Source organism: Homo sapiens, chromosome 4 (genome assembly GCF_000001405.40).
Source record: "Homo sapiens chromosome 4, GRCh38.p14 Primary Assembly".
NCBI lineage: Eukaryota > Metazoa > Chordata > Mammalia > Primates > Hominidae > Homo > Homo sapiens.
In genome coordinates this window covers 79,715,598-79,735,930 of record NC_000004.12, presented here as the reverse complement: position 1 = coordinate 79,735,930, position 20,333 = coordinate 79,715,598, and the positions used below count along the sequence as shown (strand labels likewise).

Sequence of the window (20,333 nt, the reverse complement as noted above, 5' to 3'; positions counted from 1 at the left end):
CCTTCAGAGGTACCTATCATCCTTGGTACCTATGAAAGTTATATGTACCTGAGTTTCCCAAAAAAGGCTCAAGAATAGCTTTTTTTTTTTTTTTAAAGTAACCCTATGCTGTTATCCCAGAAAAAATACAAAGCTACTGATCTATAGCAGAGGCATCATTGTTATCCAGATATTGGGAGAGAAATGCTCAGTACTTGCTGATGCCCACCCTATCCACGCTTTTTGACTTCATAATATGACACCTAATTCTAAATTCATATCTATTATTTATTTTTATTAGTAATGGAAGAATATTCTTCTGATATTCAAGCACATTAATTCCAGAGCCTCTTGTGAAATCAGAAGGATGTATTTACATGAATCTCATGGGATCTACCAACATCCATTTCAATGACACCACTGGACAAGACATCAGTTTATAGTAGAAATGTGCGATGGAATGAAAATGAAGATTATCCTCTTGCACTTTGCTGGTTTTAATTACCTTAGAAACCAAAAAAGGAACAGAAACAATTTTCATATTAATACAATAATTTGTTGTCTGTATCTCAAGGAAGCTATTTTAACCAAAAAATATATAAATATATAAAATCATAAGAAATGTCCTCACTCAGTTAATATCAAATATTCTGTTGTGTCTACTGTTTGAGTGGTTCAAAAATTATCTTATTATGTAAAGAGAAAATTGTAAGTTTTCAGTTCCAGCTTTATCAATTTCAAGTGTAGAGCTTTTTTCCTTTAGCTCTGATTTATTTCAGGTAAAATACCTCTGCTTTAGATACTTAAAAATATGACTTTTGTAATATCCTAAAATTAGACTTTGATATCCAAATAATGTGATATTTAAAAGTCCAATATTTTTGCTTCATGACTTCATCATTCTATATACAGAAATTTGTTGCTGTTTTAATATTTAAATCCTTTAACTCTCTGGAATGGTGGTCCTTAATCTTCAGTGTACATGTGAATCACCTGAAGAACATGTTTAAATGTGGCTTATCCCCTACACCAAGGAATGATAAGACTGACGAAGAACCCAGGGAGCTATATTTTTAACAAGATCTCCCTTGATTCTAATGTAGTTCCACACACTAAGAACAATAGTTTTAAAAGATAAACTTTGTGTATTTTATGTGTATTATAAAAGCATAATACACATAAAATAAAATGTACATGTTTTAATTATACAGCCCAATGAGTTCTGAAAAATGTATAAACTAAGGTAATATACCATCTGATATGGTTTGACTCCGTGTCCCACCCAAATCTCATCACAATTTGTAATCCCCACGTGTCAAAGTAGGGACCTTGTGGGAGGTGATTGGGTCATGGAGGTGGTTATCCCCATGCTGTTCTCGTGATAGTGAGGGAGTTCTCATGAGATCTAAGGATTTAAAAGTGGCAGTTTCTCCTGCACTTTCTCTGTCTCCTGCTGCCTTGTGAAGAAGGTGCCTGCTTCCCCTTCACCTTCCAGCATGATTATAAGTTTCCTGAGGCCTCCTCAGCCATGCAGAACTGTGAGTTAATTAAACTCCCTTTGTTTATAAATTACCCAGTCTCAGGTATTTCTTTATAGCAGTGTGAAAATGGACTAATACGCCAACCTAATCAAAATATAGAATATTTATATCACCCTAAAAATTACCTTGTACTCCATCCCTGACAACCAAAGATCTGATTTCCATCACTATAAATTAATTTTGCTTTTTTTCTAAAACATCACATGAATGGAATCATACAGTATGTACTCTTGTGTCTACTTTCTCATTCAGCATAATTTTGAAGTTCATCCATGTTATTGTGTGTATTTGTAGTTTTTTCCTTTTTATTGCTAAGTTCATTATCTCAATATACCACAATTTGTTTATCCATTTATCTGGTGATGGACATTTTTGTTGTTTTACTTTTAGTGTATTATGACTAAAACTACTATGAACATTTGTGTGTAAGTCTGCGTGGATGTAAGTTTTTTTTTTCTCTTGGGTAAATACCCAGGAGTGAATTCTGCCAAATGGTAAATATATGGCTACCTTTATTAGAAACTGGGAAGCTGTTATTCAAAGTGGTTGCATCCTTTAACATTCCTACTGGCAAAATATGGGAGATTCAGTTGTTCCATATCCTCTACCAATGCTTGGGAGTTAGTCTTTTTAATTAGCCATTATAGTGTAGATAAAGACGGGGTATAATATTTTGGTTTCAATTTTCACTTCTCTGACTAACGGTGTTAAACATCTTTTTATGTGTTTATTAGTGATTTGCGTATCTTCTTTTTTGAAGTGCCCATCCAAGTCTTCTTTTCATGTTTTAATAGAGTTGTCAAACTCATTGCATTGTAGGAGTTCTTTATGTATCCTGAATGCAAGTTCTTTGTCAGATACACATATATCAAATTCTAAAAATAACCTGTTTCTATTTTCATTTTCCTGATGTCATAAAGAGCAGAAGTTATTAATTTCGATGAAATCCAACTTGTCACTTTTTTCTTTAATGCTTAATATTTTTCTTTAGGTATAATCTAAGAAATATTTGCCTAACACCAAAGGTATGATTTTCTCCAATGTTTATACCTAGAAGTTTTGTGGTTCTGTTGTGTAAATTGTGATCTACTGTCTATTATAGATTAATTTTTGAGTTTGACGTAGGGCAGGGATTGAGGTTCACTTTGTTCTAGTCACACTTCCATTTCTCCAGCACCATTTGTTGAGAAAACACTAAATTTCCAATGTTGAGCTGCCTTAACATCTTTGTAAAAAAATGTAGTTTGACTGTATATATGTGAGTCTATATCTGAACTCTCTGTTCTATTGAACTATGTCTTTTCTTATAGCCATATCATGATATCTTGAATACCAAGTCTTGAAATCAATGTAAGCTCTTCAACTTTGTTCTTGTTCAAGATTTTTTTGCTATCTTAGCCCCTTCATATTTTAGATCACTTTGTCAATTTTAAAAAGCTAATGGGATTTTAAACAAGGTGACATGGAATTTATAGATCAATTTGCAGAAAATAGACACCATAAAAATTCGTAAACTTTATGTATCTTTTAAATACATATCTTTCACCTATCTGTTCCTTAGTTCTCACAGTAGCTTTTGTTTTGTTTTGTTTTCCAGTATAGTGATTTATAGATTTTAGTTAAAATTTTTTAACATAAATATTTTAAATATAAGATACTATTGAAAATGGTATTTAGTTACATTTTCTAATTGTTTGCTGCTAGTCTGTAAAAACACAACTAATGTTTTATATTGATTACATAACCTATGGCATTGTTATATTCACTTATAAATATTAGTAGCTTTTTTTGAGATTCTTTAGGAAATTTTATTTAGATGATTATTTTGTTTAAATAAATGGTTTTTGTTATGAATAAAAGTTCTCATTTTCCAGTTTTTATGGTTTTAACTTCTCTTTCTTCCTTTATTGTACTGAATGGGACTTCCAATATAACATTTGTTACAGAGTAGATGTCTTTGGCTTGCCTCTTAGGGAAAAATATGTGATATCTCAGCTTTACATATGATACTAGCTACATTTTTTCTAGTTTTCTGAAAAAAATGTATGATGAATGAATTTTTTTAAGTGTTTTTTTCCATACATGTTGAAATAATGCGGTGTTTTTACATTTATTCTGTTATGTGGTTAATTATATTGCTGGATATTCCAATTTTGACATAACCATGTTTTCACAGAATAAATTCCACTTGCTCAAGGTATGTTATTCGTTTTACATATTTATCTAATTGATAATGATAGTTTGCTGAGAGTTTTTGAGACCATGTTCATGGAGAGGATAATTTTCTTTCCTTACAATATTTTTGTCTAGTTTTGGTATCATGGTTATTCTGGCTTCTTAAAATGATTTGATAATATTTCCCTATGTTCTAAGATTTTATTAATTTTAACACTTTTAAAAATGTTAAACCTTTAAGTTAAAGGCTTAATTTAATTCTTAATTGAAAATTTAAATTCTTTAACTGAGGTTTAACGTATTAACCTCATTTATGAGTGAGATTAAGGTATTTCTTCTTTAAATCTTTAACAGAATTTACTAGCAAAACCATTTGGCCTTGAGTTTTATTTGTGACAAGATTTCTGATTATGAAGTAATTATCATTGATAGATTCTGGCCTAGTCATATTTTTCCAAGGAATTTGTTTATTTCATTTATGATAGTGAATGTTTTGGCATATATATTTTCAAAATATTTTACTGTTACTTATGTAATATATTTAAGATGTGTAGTGATATCACCTCTTTCATTTATTCCTAATCTGTGTTTCTTTCCTCTTATGCTTGATTATTCCTGCTAGATTATAAACTTTATTACTATTTTTAAATAACTAATGTTTAACTCTTTTCATCTTCATATTATCAGTCTGTTTCAATTTAATTGATTCATGATATTATCTTTTTTATTTTCTTTCTTCCAATAACTTATGGCTTAATTTGCTTTATCCCCACTCTAACTTTGTAAAGTGGAAAACTTGATAATTAACTTCAAATGTTCTTTTTTTCTAAGACAGGGTCTCACTCTATTGCCCAGGCTGGAGTGTGGTGGTGCAATCTTGGCTCACTACAACCTCTGCTTCCTGGGTTCAAGTGATTCTCCTGCCTCAGCCTCCTGAGCAGCTAGGATTACAGGCGTGCATCACCAAGCCTGGCTATTTTTTTATTTTTAGTAGAAACGGGGTTTCACCGTATTGTCCAGGGTGGTCTTGAAGTCCTGACCTCAAGTGATCAGACTGCCTCGGCCTCCCAAAGTGCTGGGATTACAGGTGTGAGCCACCAAACCCGGCCAAATGTTCTTTTATAATATAACTGTAAAAGTAAAAAAATTCATTTCAAACATAGGTTTAGCTGTATTCATCCTTCAAATTTTAACAGGATGTGATTTTATTATCATTTACTTCAAAATATTTTAAAATTTTCTTTGTAATATCTTCTTCATCCCATAGCTTATTTAGATTTATGTTATTTAATTTTGATTTTTTTGTTTTTATGTATTTTATTATCATTCACTTCTAGTTTAGTTCTGTTGGGGTAAGATAAAATACTCTAAGATTTTCATCTTTCGAAGTTCCCAGAGACTTAGGCCTAGAGTATGGTCTATCTTGTAAAGTATTCCATATGCACTTGGAAAAAAAAATTATTAATTCTTGGGTACCAGAGTTTTCTACAAAATTGGTTAAGGTTGTTGTATTAGGGTTCTCTAGTGGGACAGAATTAGTGGAATATATGTACATATACATATATACATATACATATATATACACATACACATATACATATGTGTGTGTGCGTGTGTGTGTGTGTATATATATATGGAGTTTATTAAGTATTAACTCACACAATCAGAAGGTCCCATAATAGGCTGTCTGCAGGCTAAGGAGCAAGGAGAGCCAGTCAGAGTTCCAAAACTGAAGAACTTGGAGTGTGATGTTTGAGGGCAGAGGGCATCCAGAATGGGAGGAAGATGTAGGCTAGGAGGCTAGGCCAGTATCTCTTTTCATATTTTTCTGCCTGCTTATATTCTAGCCACACTGGCAGCTGATTAGATTGTGCCCACCCAGATTAAGGGTGGGTCTGCCTTTCCAAGCCCACTAACTCAAATGTTAATCTCCTTTGGCAACACCCTCACAGACATATCCAGGATCAATACTTTATTCTTCAATTCAATCAAGTTGACACTGAGTATTAACCATCACAGCTGTATTGCTTGCCAGTGTAATACATTTACTTACTCTTTTTTCATTTGTTTATTCTATGAGAGAGGGGTGTTAAAATGTATGATTGTGGATTTGTCTATTTCTCCCTTTAGTTCTGTCAGATTTTACTTCATCTAATTCATCATCTGTCATCAGGTACGTACATATTTTGGCTGTTACGTCTTCTTGATAAATAATTTTTTTGTTATTATATAATGTCTCTAGTAATATACTTTGTTTTGAATTCTACAATTTTTATATTAATATAGCCAGCCATACTTGCTTTTGTAATGTATGGCATTTATTTTTCCACTTTTTTGAATTTTCATCCTTTGCATCTTTATTATTTTAACTGAGTATCATATATACAGCATATAGTTCGATCTTGTTTTTATAGTTAGATTTTTTTACCTACTCTAATAATGTCTGACATTGAAATATTTTTATTCACTTTTATTATAATTATTTATGTAGTTAGATTTTTAAAAAATGTTTTGTTAGAGATGATTTGTAAAAATTTCAAGGAAATCCCAAGCCCTTATAACTTGGCAGGTCAGATTTTTACCTCTGCCTTCAATGCAGTCATTGTCAAGCCTGGTTTTAGAATTTGTTATAGTGGGTCTGGAATAGTCCTTACTCTGGGAGCACCTAAATCTAAATCTTGGCTTTTCTGGCATCTTAACTGGCTGCTTGAAATTTTAAAAGTCTTTCCCCGGTGGGTAGACTAGGACTTTAAAAATCCCCTGGCATTGTCTTACCTTAGTATCCCCATTCTATACTCAACCTAATAGTGGCTGCTTGCTAGTAAACCTTGTGTAGTCTTGTCTTGTTCACATCAAGTCTAACTCTTGTCTAAGGACTGTGAGAAGTCTCAAACAGACTTCTGGTCCCCCTCCACCCCTGTGCTGCCACTTTCTAACTGGTGTCTGCTTTGCTGAATCTAGGTATTTTATCAGCTCCAAGGTGTGATTTCTGTCTCTTTAACCTGTCAGGACACGAGCTCCATAGTCCTATGCCATGATGCATATACTATCTAGATGCAGAGAGCAGAGGAAATATGGGGCTTAGGGATCATAGTCCTGTACAGCTTATTGTTAAATATATAAAAACATTTATCTCATATATAGCACAGTTTTATTGCTGTTTATGGAAGAAAGGCTAGACTAGTGCTCTCTCTCAGAACAAAGTAGAAGATGTCTGAGAACAGTAATTTTTAACCTTATTTTAGGGCACTTTAATAATATACTGAAAGCTACAGACTGTTTCCTCAGCATTAACAGTTAAATTATTTAGATTGTTTATAGCTGATATTTTTACCTCATTGTTTAGGGGAAGGTGATGGGAGCAGAAGAATTGGAAGGAGTGCTTAATTTTACTTACATCTTAAACAATTTAAATAAAGTGCAATTTGGTGGATACAGTTTCCTGAGATTGTCATTATGCATCATATTCCTAGTTACTTAAAAAGGACTTTATCACATTTATATACAGCCATCTTTGTCAAATATTTATATTGCAACCTTTGTTTTCTTTTTTTTTGTACTTTTAAAAAATACATTTAATCATTTTATTACTGTTAAGGAAAAGAGCCAAACTCTGTAAAATATTTTAAGAGATTTATTCTCAGCCGAATATGAGTGACCGTGGCCATGACATAGCCCTTAGGAGATCCTGAGAACATATGCCTAAGGTCGTCAGGGTACAGCTTGGTTTTATATATTTTGGGGAGGCATGAGACATCAATCAAATACATTTAAGAAATACATCAGTTTGGTTCAGAAAGTCGGGACACATTGAAGCGGGGGGTTCCAGGCTATAGGTAAATTCAGACATCTTTTGATTGACAATTGGTTGAGTTTATTTGAAGACCTGGGATGAAAGGAAATGTTCAGGATAAGATAAAGGATTGTGGAGACCAAGTTTTATTGTGCAGAGGAAGCTCTCAGACTTCAGAGAGAGCAAGTTGTAAAATATCTCTTATCAGACTTACAAGGATGCCTGGCTCTTAAGTGATTATCTCTTGGATCCAGAAAGGAAGGAAAGAAAACACAGGGGAAAGGGGATTCTCTATAGAACGTGAATTTTTCCCATAAGAGTCTTTGCAGGGTAATTTTAAGTATGGATGAGAAACATGTTTTGGGGTAAAACATTTTGATTTTCCTCCTCATTATGCCAGAGTCAGATTGGAAAGTAAGTCACAATATTCAGGGTTAAATAAAACCCATCTGATGAGAACTTATGGTTTGTAGGGCATGACTCCCCAGACCAGTTAGATAGGAATCTGGACAAGATAAATATGTATATATATCTGAGCTTAGTCCTCATTACTGTTAGCACAGAGGGAGAGACAAGAAGGAAGATGAAATGAGAGGGTGGCTCAACAGTTGAGACAGGTTTATTAAGAGTAAACCTGATAAGGGCTTCTGGCCGGCAGGGTCAGGAGCAAACTTCTCTTACAGTCTGATCCTTTTTAAAAAGGGCCCAGTGGGGGAAGTGTGCTCTAAAAGAGGTTCCTATCAAGGAGAGGTTGGGAAAGTGTTGGCTGGACTTCAGTAAGCTTTGTTGTGATTAGGGTCATTATGTTATGTTGAAGATATGCTCAGGGTTGACATTTGTGATTTGATCAGGTGGCAATGGACAGTTCTGAAAAATAAAAGCCTGATACTTTAAGATGGTGGGCTCTTGTTAAGATGGTGGTCTCTTATCCTATCAATTACCATGGATCATTCTGAGTCTTCTTTTAGGTAGATCTGTAGTATATAGTTATAATGAGACTTTCTTGTATTTCTTTATCCATTCCATTTAATATGTGAGTTTATTACATTTAGATCAATCTTTGAAACAATATTTTCATTTCACTTCTGCTATCTTATTTTTTGTTATTTTTGTGTGTATAAGGGTTTGTTTCTTACATTATTATCTATGCTTAGTTATTTTGAGTAATTAGGAAAAGGTGTAGTTCTGTTTTTAATTCTAGTAGAGGTTATTGTTATAAACTTAAGTAATAATGTAAGATTTATATTTCTTAGTCTATCACCCTCAGAAATGAGGTAATATCTAATGAACACTCACTATGAAATATGAACAAATTAGTACATTTACAGTCATGTTTACATCCTCCCTCTTTCTTCTCTGTTTTCCAAGTTGTGTTAATTTGCTCTGAGATTTTTTCCTCCCAATCCATTTTAACAAACATATTACAATTGGTCACATGGTTGCTTCAGTGATAGCCTTAGGTCCATGTTTAAGAAGATCCAATGAGTCCTGATACTCTTTCATCCCATACCTCATGGTTGGTTAATTTACACCCCCAAGGTAAATTGAGAAGTTAGTCTACTCTGGGCAATGTGCCAGGAACTAGGGATCAGCAATAGGTAGGGTAGCAACGAAGTACTCTGACAGCAGCTCTCAGTGTAGTAACTGGAACTTCCAAATTAGGAAAGAAAAGTTACTTTACTTTTCTTACAGTTTCAATAATGTCCATTAAAAAATCTCATTCTTTTACTTTTTGTTGAGATCTCACTTGATAGTAGGGAACACTATGGGCACTCCAGTCTCATTATTTTATTTATGTTTCCAGGCATGCATGCTTGATGTTTTAAATTTCTATTCTATTTAATTCTCATTGCTTCACAAGCATCATCGTCAGTTTACCTCTGAGTAAAGAATTACCCTGTCTCGTCTGTTTCATTCACCCTCACATATTTGTTTTGAACATTTGGATTTGTGCTTGTTCAATGGTGTGTGAGTTTGAAATGCCAGGGGAAATAATTGGACAATGCAACCCACTCAAAGTTTAAAAGCTTAATTATGTGTCTAATGTTATTTCAGTTGTCAGAAGCCCATTTTGTTGAATCCCAGAAAATTAACAGGAAGTTCCTGTTTCTTGAAAACTATCCTGGCAATAAATTCTTAAAGCATTGTCTCAACTTATTTCCTTACAGTTCCCTTTCCATTCACAAATCATTACCACTGCCTTCCCAAGCTATTTTGTGAGAAGGGATTCCCTGAGACATGGATTTATTTTTTTAATGGGTATCTACATCGTCAAATGAGAGTAAAAGGGAAGTTCTAAATGGTAGGAAACTGTTTCACTTCTTAACCAGGAGTCCCTACTTTTCAATGGAGAGCTATGAAATTATTTTACTAATTTATATCTTGGGGAAAAGAAAGGAGGAGATGGAAAGTTCACAGCAGTTATCTTCAAATCACCCTCCTGATATTTCATGGGAATATCAAGGTCTGAGTAAGCTCACTTGCAAAGACATCTTGAAGGAAGTGTCACATACGCTGCCTTCAGTAAACTACATATGTATATAAAGTTCCACATACAAGTATCTTGATAAAAACTTCATTTTGCATTTGTGAAATCTTCACATTAATATAAATTGTTTTACTACATCATATGAAATATAATACAAGTAGCTTCATTGAGCCTATCTTTTTCCAAACTTAGTTGACTTCATTTCTCCACAAATACCCAGTAACATTTTGTTGTTGTTCTAGAAAACACAGTTTGGGGAACCTTGCCTTACGGAAATGCTTTCAATGAAATCTATGGCTTTGAGATTTGAGTTAATAGTTTAAAAGGAATGAAGTAGGTGGCAGGAAACACCTTTTATTTTACACTAAATTCTTGACCAACTGGCACATACAAACACAAAAAAATTCATATAGAAATAATGTTTCATTTAAAAATTATGTTTCAAGGTTTAACCGCTTGCCCACTGTCACACAGCCAATGTATGGCCAAGAAAGAAGCTAAACCCAGGTGGTCAGGCTCCAGATTCCACCACTGTACTCTGACTAGGCATAGAATTTTTACCAAAACATTTGGGAGGCTGAGCAGGCAGATCACTTGAGATCAGGAGTTTGAGACCAGCCTGGCCAACATGGCGAAACCCCGTCTCTACTAAAAATACAAAAATTAGCTGGGTGTTGTGGCACATGCCTGTAATCCCAGCTACTCAGGAGGCTGAGGCAGGAGAATCAACTTGAACCCAGGAGGCAGAGGTTGCAGTGAGCCGAAATTGTGCCACTGCACTCCAGCCTGGGTGACAGAGTGAGACTCAGTCTCAGAAAAAGAATTTTTACCAAAACAATAGTCATTTTCTTAAAAAAAAAATAATAAAAGGAAAAAAAGGCCGCCAACAAAAATAAATGAGTAAATAAAAATTCTGTTTCTAGTCTTAGGCTCAACTGTAGAAGCAAGATGAGTATGTGGCTTCTTATCCCCAAAATATTAGCCATAAGACCTTATCATTTCCAAATATTAATACCATCCCATATTATTTAAATGCTTAAAAAAGTAACCCCATTTATAATATTTAAACTGAAATATTATTGCAAGTAAGTTTACTCTAAAGGAGTGATTGTTTAAAACATTCTTATTTCTAAAGAGATTACTTAAATCAAGAGGTAGAATTGAGCACATGGTGAGATCATGAAGAACATGAGCAACTCTACTGGGGCTTGAAAGTGGAAATTTGAAATTGCCGCAAGACAGAGGTTGAAGGATTGCTATATTGATAAACTTTCCTAATCGCACAATTGCCCAATTCTACTGAAATAGAGTAGGTCTATTACCTACTCTAGCTACACTATGCAAAATTGTACCCAAATGCAGATTTTAAAAGGAATTTCCAAAAATTATGTTCCAATTATTATTAACAGTATGGTACACTAGACCTATCTCATCGTACCCTTGCCAACATAAAATATTCGATTTTTTTATCTTTGCTAGTTTTATGTAGAAAAATATTTTATTATTTTTCATTAAAAGTTCTTTATTATGAGATTAAATATATTTAATTTTTCCGTGAATTATCTCTTTATATATTCTCATGAAATATATTAATAGGGATAGGAGGCAGATAAATTCTATGCAGAAAAGGGCGGGTTCCCTGATGAAGCCCCGAGCCTCAAGCCGAAAAGCCTGAGACCCTGGCATTAAGTGAGAACTTATATCCCTCTTTCCAGCTTGAATGTTGCCTTTTCCTAAACCACCCATAGCTCTGCGCCATCCCATCCTATACCTATAAAGGCCACAGACTCAGCCAGCAGAGGGGAGAAGCGGCTGGACATCAAGGACCATGGCTAGACACCAGAAAGAAGCTGCTTGACAGAGTAACTTCGGAGAAGAATCTGGCCGGAGACGGCCGGATTTCAGGGGAAGATTACCTTGTCGCCTTGTCCTTTATTCAGTCCCTCTTTCTGCGGAGAGCCACTTTCATTGGCAATAAAATCCCCCGCATTTACCATCCTTCAATTCGTTCACGTGACTTCATTTTTTCTGGACCCTGGACAAGAGCTCGGGAGCCGAGAGTGCAGATGCAAAAAGGCCCACTGAGCTGTTTACACTGAAGCCATTCGCAGATGTCAGAGCTAAAAGAGAACTGTAACATGCCCTCTGGGGCTTCATGGGTGGCAGGTACCCTCCCAGATGGTGCCGTGGGGCCTGCATGGAGTTTGCTCCTGCTGGCGCCTCAAAGCACTGGCCCTGGCTCCAGCACCCATTCACCTCCCGCGAAGGGTGGAACGCAGCGAATCTGAGTGAGTGCAGTTTGCTCCGGCCGGTGCCGAAGCAGCTAACTGGTTCCAGAGCTCATGTACTCCAGTTCCTGCCTCATTTACTCGTGTACTCCCTACTGTGAGGAGTTGAGAGCAGCGGGATGAGTAAATGGGGCACTCTTGTCACGAGTCCTGAGAAGGGGTCAGGGAAATATCATGCTTCAATATAGACTATTTGGGCCTAATGATTTAAACTATAATAATTCTGGCTTTTGCCTCATTTCCTTTCAATTATTTGCTTTATGAACATATTCAGTGAGGTTGACTTACAAACGAAACCAGTTTATTGTCTCAGTAACCAGGGAATGTGATTTGATGATAAATGTGATTTGCCCAAAACTGAGATGAGACTACAGCGAGATTGTTTATATATTTTATCTACCTTGTTGTTTTTAAGATGATTAAATATTAAGAGTGTCAGAAAGAAAAGATATCTGTGATCACCTTTATTTGTTCACCTTTATTTGTTTAAAAGATCTGGTCATCGTGATATAACAAGAAAATAAAATTATATAGTTATTTGAAACAAGATAATATTTTAAAATGTAGACATTTGTGTTAAATTATGAACATCAGTGGAAAATATTAGAAATAATAAGAATTATGTAAGATGACCAGTAGAAAAACGGAGAAAAATCAATTCTTCTTTATATATCTATAATAATGAATTTGAAATAAGATTAGGAAAAATCTCACGGTAGCTAGAAAAAACATATTGAACAAGATTAACAGTATGTAGGAACAGTGAAGAAAAGTCTGTAACTTTGCCAATAGACATTAATAAAGTTTTGAATTGAGGAGAACAATTATTTTGTGCAAGATATTTAAACGTATACTGAAATTATGCTGTGCAAGATATTGAACTATAAGACCAGAGTGACTAAAGTTATATGATAAAATAAAACAGAGAAAACTGACCATACATACCTATTTGTCACCTGTTTATAATATATATGAGCAGATATCGTGGAAGAAGATGCCGGTTACTCCACAAATAGAACTGGTATTAAAATAGAAAGCTTCTGTACATTAAAAAAGATACCTTAATTAAAATGAAAAGACAAGTTTCGGACTGGGAAAAAAATGTCTGTAACTGCTAAAACTAATCAAAATTTAGTGTGACAGTTTTAATACACACAACTCATATAAATCAGAAATAAAGTGACAAAGGAATAAAAATGGGAAAGGATATACAGTTTTTAGGAGTAGAAGGCTGAATGACCAATACATTTGTAAACAGATGCTCAGCATCACTTGTAGTCAGGTAACCAAAAATTAAAATATCATGTTGCAAAAAAATGAAAATGTTTGTCAATACTAAGCATTAGACAACCTTGAGAGCCCTGGGAGTCTCATATAAGTTTCCTTGTGAAAACTTTGTCAATATTCAGAAAAGTTAAAGAGGCACATATGGACTTGGTGACCCAAAAAACGTATACGTATGTGTGTACATATATAAAATATATATATGTCTTATGGAAGCTGAGTGATAAGATATGACTTGGATTTATAAGTATCACCTTTTATGGCCTTTTATGACTGCTATGTTTAGCCTGTAGGGAGGGAAGGACTGTCTCCTGGGGTACTTCAACATTGGGAAAGAGGTTTATAATTATATCTAGGTGACAGGATATCATGATTACTATTTTCTTGTTTATTTTCTAAATTAAAAAAATTTTGTAATAAAGCACATAACTACATAAGTTATAGACAATGGAAAAAAAATCAGTGTCTTCGGCCATCAATAAAACTTAAAAAATAGAAACATGATTGAACTTAAAACTATCCCTTTCCAAGGAGAAATAAATCTCAAATATTCTGATATAAATTATTCAGATAATATATATAATTATTTTAAAACATCTTCAAATAATGTTTAAAATTAATATGACTAGAGCTCCATAAATAGTAAGATATTCAAGTTTGTCAAGACTTTGGTGAACACATTCATTCAGGCTGACTAAGCACACTGAAATGCATTAATTTAGGCCCTGTAAAACTCAGTAATTATTTGATCATAAATTTGAGCCTAATATAGCCATGAAATATCTATGTTAATTTTTTTTCTGGGAGGATATAGATTTTAAATACAAATTATTCAAATTGTTTTTACTTAAAAAAAGATGCTTTTAATCTTTAAAATTGCTTTATTATATTTTGTAACTATTTAAATTTTCATATTTTATTATTCATCACTTTAAACTGAAGTGGCAAGTTAAAGGTAGTCTTAATAGGTGATAAAGTAACTGTAGCTAAAGTACAGGTACAGGCAATGAGGTTTGTGTAGTTCTTTCCAAGCAAAAGCAAGTCTCCAGGCCTGTGTTAACGCTGTCCTGTGAAACAGTTTCTTTTTTTGCATAGCAACAATTTTTGGTTTCACTTATAAACAGTTAGTTGAACGAGAACTGTTAGAAATAACTCCTAATGCGAAAAAATTTTTATTGACATTTACCATATGCTAGGCACTATCTTATTATCACAAACATGATGAGACAGGTGCTCTTATTAGATTTACAGGATAACACAGCTAGTATGCAGTATTGCCAGTGTGGAAATCCCTGCCTGCTACCCACTCTGCTACCCTCTGTTTGATGGTATTTCTTCTGGAAAGCCCCTTGTGTCTCTCTATACGGTCTCAACATCCCTCCTATTGAGGGTATAACATGATGACCTCTCATAACATTATGCATTTATTCTGTTCATAGCATTTAGCATAGGCTTGGAAGCCTATCAGCCTTCCAAGACAGCATCTGTATCTTACCCATCACTGTATTTCACAATCTAACATACATACTGGACAATGTAGATGATTTTTAAAATAGTGAAAAAATGACTAATCCTCTAAAATCTTTAGATATCTTGGATTGTGTATATCACAAGTTTTATATAAAAGAAAGCCTGTCTTTCCTCACAGAAGAGACACTGTTTATCATTTTCCTCCTTGTACTAAAATTTAGATGAAACCCTGGTGAATTATTATACATAGGAAACAAATTCTAATTTCTCAGTATTCAGGGAATATGTATTCAGTCTTATTCAAGGAAAGGCTCACTGGTAGAAACAGTTTTCATATAATGATTTATTAAAGTAAGGAGTTACCTGCAATTTTTAATAATGTGACCAAAGAAAAGGATCAAGCCAGGTGTGGTAGCTCACACCTGTAATCCCAGCACTTTGGGAGGCCAAGATGGGAGGATCACTTGAGCCCAGGAATTCAAGATCAGCCTCGGCAACACTAGGCGACATCACGAGACCCTGTCTCTACAAAAATAAAAACATTAGCTGGGCATAGTGATGTGCAGCTGATGCCCCCAGCTACTTGGGTAGTTGAGGCAGGAGGATCACTTAAGCCCAGGAGGTCGAGGCTGCAGTCAGTCATGCATGATCACACCACTGCACTCCAGCCTGGGCCATAGATCAAGACCCTGTCTCAAAAAAAAAAAAAAAAAATCGAGACTAATAATTGGATATAGTTGTTAAACAAATACTTTTGTTTTACACTGATAATATGTATGTGGCCACTTTTTGGACTTGCCCTGAATAGTCAAAATATTCCATACTAGAGATATGGAAAAGCATGAGGAGGAAGGAGAAAGAAATTAGGACTGTTGTAGTTGTTAAAGGAATTTGTGAGATATGGAAATGGGAAAGATAGAAATATTTAATAATATTAGTGGTTAAAATCTTCTATAAGCTTAGGCTGGGCATGGTGGCTCAAACCTTTAATCCCAGCACTTTGGGAGGTTGAGGCAGGTGGATCACTTGAGGTCAGGAGTTCAAGACCAGCCTGGCCAACATGGTGAAACCCCATCTGCACTAAAAATACAAAAATTAGCTGGGCATGGTGGCACATGCCTGTAATTCCAGCTGCTCAGGAGGCTGAGACATGAGAATTGCTTGAACCTAGGAGGCAGAGGTTGCAGTGAGCCCAAATGGTGGCACTGCAATGCAGCCTGGGTGACAGAGACCCCATCTAAAAGAAAAAAAAAATTATTTAGTATTTGCCAGGTATTTTACTAAGTGCTTAACATAAAATATAAGTTTTTGACTTCACAACTTATTTATGAGGCAGCGGATATTTCTATTCCTGATAATGTGAATAAGAATATTCACAGAGAAGCGTATTGAAGTGAAATGTCTTTTCCAAGATCAAAGAGCTTAACAAAAGAGATGTAATTGGAGCACAACTCATATGATTTAGAAAATAGGAAGGTTATTTATTTAATTACAGTTGTATAAGTATGTAAATTAATTTATACATAACTTTAAAACCCAAGTCATTTAACAAGGCATAAAACAAACAAACAAAAAATGCCATTATCTACTCTAAATCTGAAATCCTACTCCCAATCTCCAACTCTTCAATTCTTTTATCTGTATTATTTGGTCATGTACCTCAATATTTCCAAATAACAGAGGTTATATCACTATTTTTAATAAAACAAATTTACTGAGCTATAATTTATTATATCACACAACATGTGCAGTTTAATGAACTTAGATATGTGTGTACAGCCTTGGTCTCACCACCCTATTCAAGAGACAAAACACTGATTGCCCCTGGAAGTTCCTTGTGCTCTTTTCCAGTCAATTCTTCTACCCAACTCTGACCCAAGGCACTGATATCATTTTATTCAGCATAGAATTACATATTAGTTTTACTTGTTCTATATCTTCATACATAGCATGTCTTCTTTTGTTTCTCGCTTCTTTTGCTCAGCAAAATAATTTTGAGATTCGTTCATGCTGCTGAATGTATCAGCATTTTTTTCCTTTGTATAGAAGTGTCATATTTAGCTATGTGGATATGCTACAAGTTTTCAAATCAATTTTTCATTGGTGGATATTTGAGTTATTTCCGGTGTTTGACTAGTAGGACTAAACCTGCTATCAATATTTGTGCACAAGTCTTGTGTAGACATATGTATTCTTTTTTATTGTTTTTTTTTTTTTTTTTTGAGACGGAGTCTCGCTTTGTCGCCCAGGTTGGAGTGCAGTGGCGTGATCTCTGCTCACTGCAAGCTCTGCCTCCCGGGTTCACGCCATTCTTCTGCCTCAGCCTCCCAAGTAGCTGGGACTACAGGCGCCAGCCACCATGCCCGGCTAATTTTTTTGTATTTTTAGTAGAGATGGGATTTCACCGTGATCCACCCGCCTCAGCCTCCCAAAGTGCTGGCATTACAAGCGTGAGCTACCGTGCCCGGCCAACATATGTTTTCATTTATCTTTGTAGTGAAATGATTGGTCATGCAGTAGGTATACATTTAACTTGGTAAGAAACTGCCAAAACACTTTTAAAGTTGTACTATTTAAACTCTCGCTAATAGTGTATGAGAGTTCTCTAAAGCAGGTTCACTAATTACCAATCCCAAGGGTGCATCAAGAGTGGCAACATCATCATTGTGCCAACAACCAAGAGCAGAAGTTCAAATACTGTGCCTACTGCATCCTGGGCTACTGTTTAGGTCCACCATGCACTGGCTTCCAATTTGTCTAAGTCCTATGAGACAGAGCACATTCACACATAACAAGACATATGAGGTGGGCTTATTACTTACAGGTAGGCAAGGGAAGAAAGGAGTCTCAAGTCCACTGGGAGCCAGTCCTGAAGGCTCAAGAAAGCTACTTAGGGCAGATGGAGTGTTGACTTTGTGTGCCCTGCTTGCATCTCGGCTGAGTGACCCTAAAAAACAACCTGCCTTGGGTTTGATAGCTTTGGGGCAACATGAATCACTTGGCAACACTTTGAAGAACATCCTGCTTCCAGAGGAGTGAACACAAAGCCTTAGCTGTCTTGGGCAGTTTTTCCTTATCTCAAGATTTCTCAGCATGGTCAGGAACAAGACCTGAACTGTTTCAAGCAGTTTCCCCCAACTTATGATACTGCATTCCCAGCACATTCTACAGTTACTCTTGAGAACTACAAGCAAGAAAACGGGGAGAAATGGGTTGGTATAGGCACACGGAAGAACTGTCCTGCAAGTTCCAGTTCTATGTTATCACTAACACTTGTTTTTGTCAGCATTTTCAATTTTAGCCATTATCAAGAATGTATAGTCATATCTCAAGGTTTAATTTACATTTTCTTAGAAAGTAATGATTTTGAACATTTATTCATATGCTTATTGGTCATTCATATATTTTCTTTTGAGGAACAAAGCTTACTGATTTTGTTAAAGGCCAATTTATCATTTTAATTATTTTATGAGTGCTTTTTGTTTTCTGAGAAATCTTTGCCTAACTTAAGTCACAAAGATTCTCTACTATTTTTCTTTCAGAAGTTTTATAGTTTTAGGTTTATCATTTAAGGATGCGAGTCATTTCAAATTAATTTTTCAGCATAGTATGAGATATGATGAAGGACTATTTTTCTGTACTGATATTAAATTAACCCAGTACAACTTTTTTTTTTAAAGCCATCATTTCCATTAAATTATTTGGCACCTTTGTTAAAAATCAATTGACCATATACATGTGGGTCTCTATCTGGAGTCTCTTTTTTGATTCATGAATCTATTTAAATATTTTTGTGTGTATAGCACACTCTCTTAATTACTATATCTTTAAACGAGTCTTAGGTAGTATAAACTCTCCAGGTTTGTTAATCTTTTCAAAATTATTTTAACTATTCTAGGTCCCTTTGCCACTACTTTTTGATATTTCAGTTTTAGACATTATGTATTGACTACTTAATTATCAAGATGAAAATTTGGTAATTTATTCTTTTCCCCAATGTAATTAATTCATCAATTTTTTTGTTAAATTAATATTTAATTTATTGCTTAGTTATTGTAAGTGTGTTATATTATTTACAGATGATTCATGTGATGTACAATAATTTACATTATTTTTCTTTCAAAGAAAAATTTTACAAGGTACTTTTATTTTCCCTGGAGTTTTTATTTGCCTTATATTTCCATTTATTTAATCTCAGATGTAGCTATCTCAAATTCTTCCCTAACCCTATGCCAGAAATTTAAAACTTTTTGCGATATGTTCAAATATAGCCTTGGTACTCCACCACCTTCCTGTTCTAATTTTTAATGATTTTTCTCTAAGCTTGATATACAGTTCTCATCCCAGAATTTTTGATCCCCATAAACTCTGGAAATCTTCTTGATTTACCTCCTGTATTTGATAAGAGTTTTCAGTCTCCTGTATCTTATATCTTTTTTTTAACTTAGTATAGCCCATATCCTCCAGTGGCTAAATGAGAAATGTTTCACAGAAGCTACATTTTTTGAGGAATGTGTGCTTGAAAAAAATGTCCTCATTTTTCTCCTGACTGACCATGTGAGTGGATATAAAATCGTAGTATGATTTTCCCCCCTCAGAATTGCTTAGGTATTTGCTTCATTTTCTTCTAGCTCTCCATATTTCCACTGAGATCTGAATTCATCCTGAATCCAGATCTTTTTATAATTGTGTGTGCACACACATACATTTGAATGTTTTAAAGATTATTTCATTTCCATTTACCTGAAATTGCTTGATCTAATGCTTCATTGTGTCTCTATTTTATCTATAGTGGTAAATACTTTTGGTGCACTTTTAGTCTCATATGCATGCCCTTCAGTTTTGAGATATTTTCTGGTATTCTTAATATAATTATCTGATTTGTGTTTCTTTGTTATTTTCTGTTGGAATCCTATTACTCAATTATTGAATTACTTGGACAGATTTTCTAATTTTCTCATCTTTATTTTCCTATATTTTATATCTTGGCGATTTTATTTTAATTTCTGGATGTTTCCTCAAATTTATCTTCCAATTTTTCTTTTGTATATTTACTTTTCCCAGAGCTCTTTTTTTCTTGAAATTTCCTTTTAAATACATGCTGGGTTTATTTTGTTTAATGTATTAAATATTCTGATGATAATAATTTCAGTTTCAGTGTGGCATGAATTTTTCTTGCCTGGTGAATGCTTGATTATCCGTCGATATTTACAAAGTAGGTAGTAAAATGTTGTTTGGAGATTTTGTATGTAAATGAAGTTTGTTGCACAGCAGCTACACTAGTGAGGGATTTGCTGGGAATACAACCTTTCATT

At 34.4% G+C, this 20,333-nt stretch overlaps 1 long non-coding RNA gene across 3 annotated transcripts in view, besides 1 other annotated feature; it reads left to right on the top strand.

Annotated features, from left to right (window-relative positions):
- The window catches only part of LOC105377302 (uncharacterized), a 47,430-nt gene that overhangs the window by 8,411 nt on the left and 18,686 nt on the right, over positions 1–20,333 (top strand). Inside the window, exon 2 of one of the 3 annotated variants that reach the window (XR_938926.3) lies at positions 5,826–5,868. The exons of the other annotated variants lie outside the window; for them this stretch is intronic. This is a non-coding gene — a long non-coding RNA (uncharacterized LOC105377302). The remainder of the gene's footprint in view (positions 1–5,825; positions 5,869–20,333) is intronic. 3 annotated transcript variants of the gene reach the window in all.
- Positions 8,042–8,336: a silencer, noted in NCBI's record as "tiled region #5843; HepG2 Repressive non-DNase unmatched - State 24:Quies". NCBI's record gives its function as "represses a minimal TATA promoter and a strong SV40 promoter by Sharpr-MPRA in HepG2 cells {active_cell/tissue: HepG2}" and the evidence as "EXISTENCE:reporter gene assay evidence [ECO:0000049][PMID:27701403]".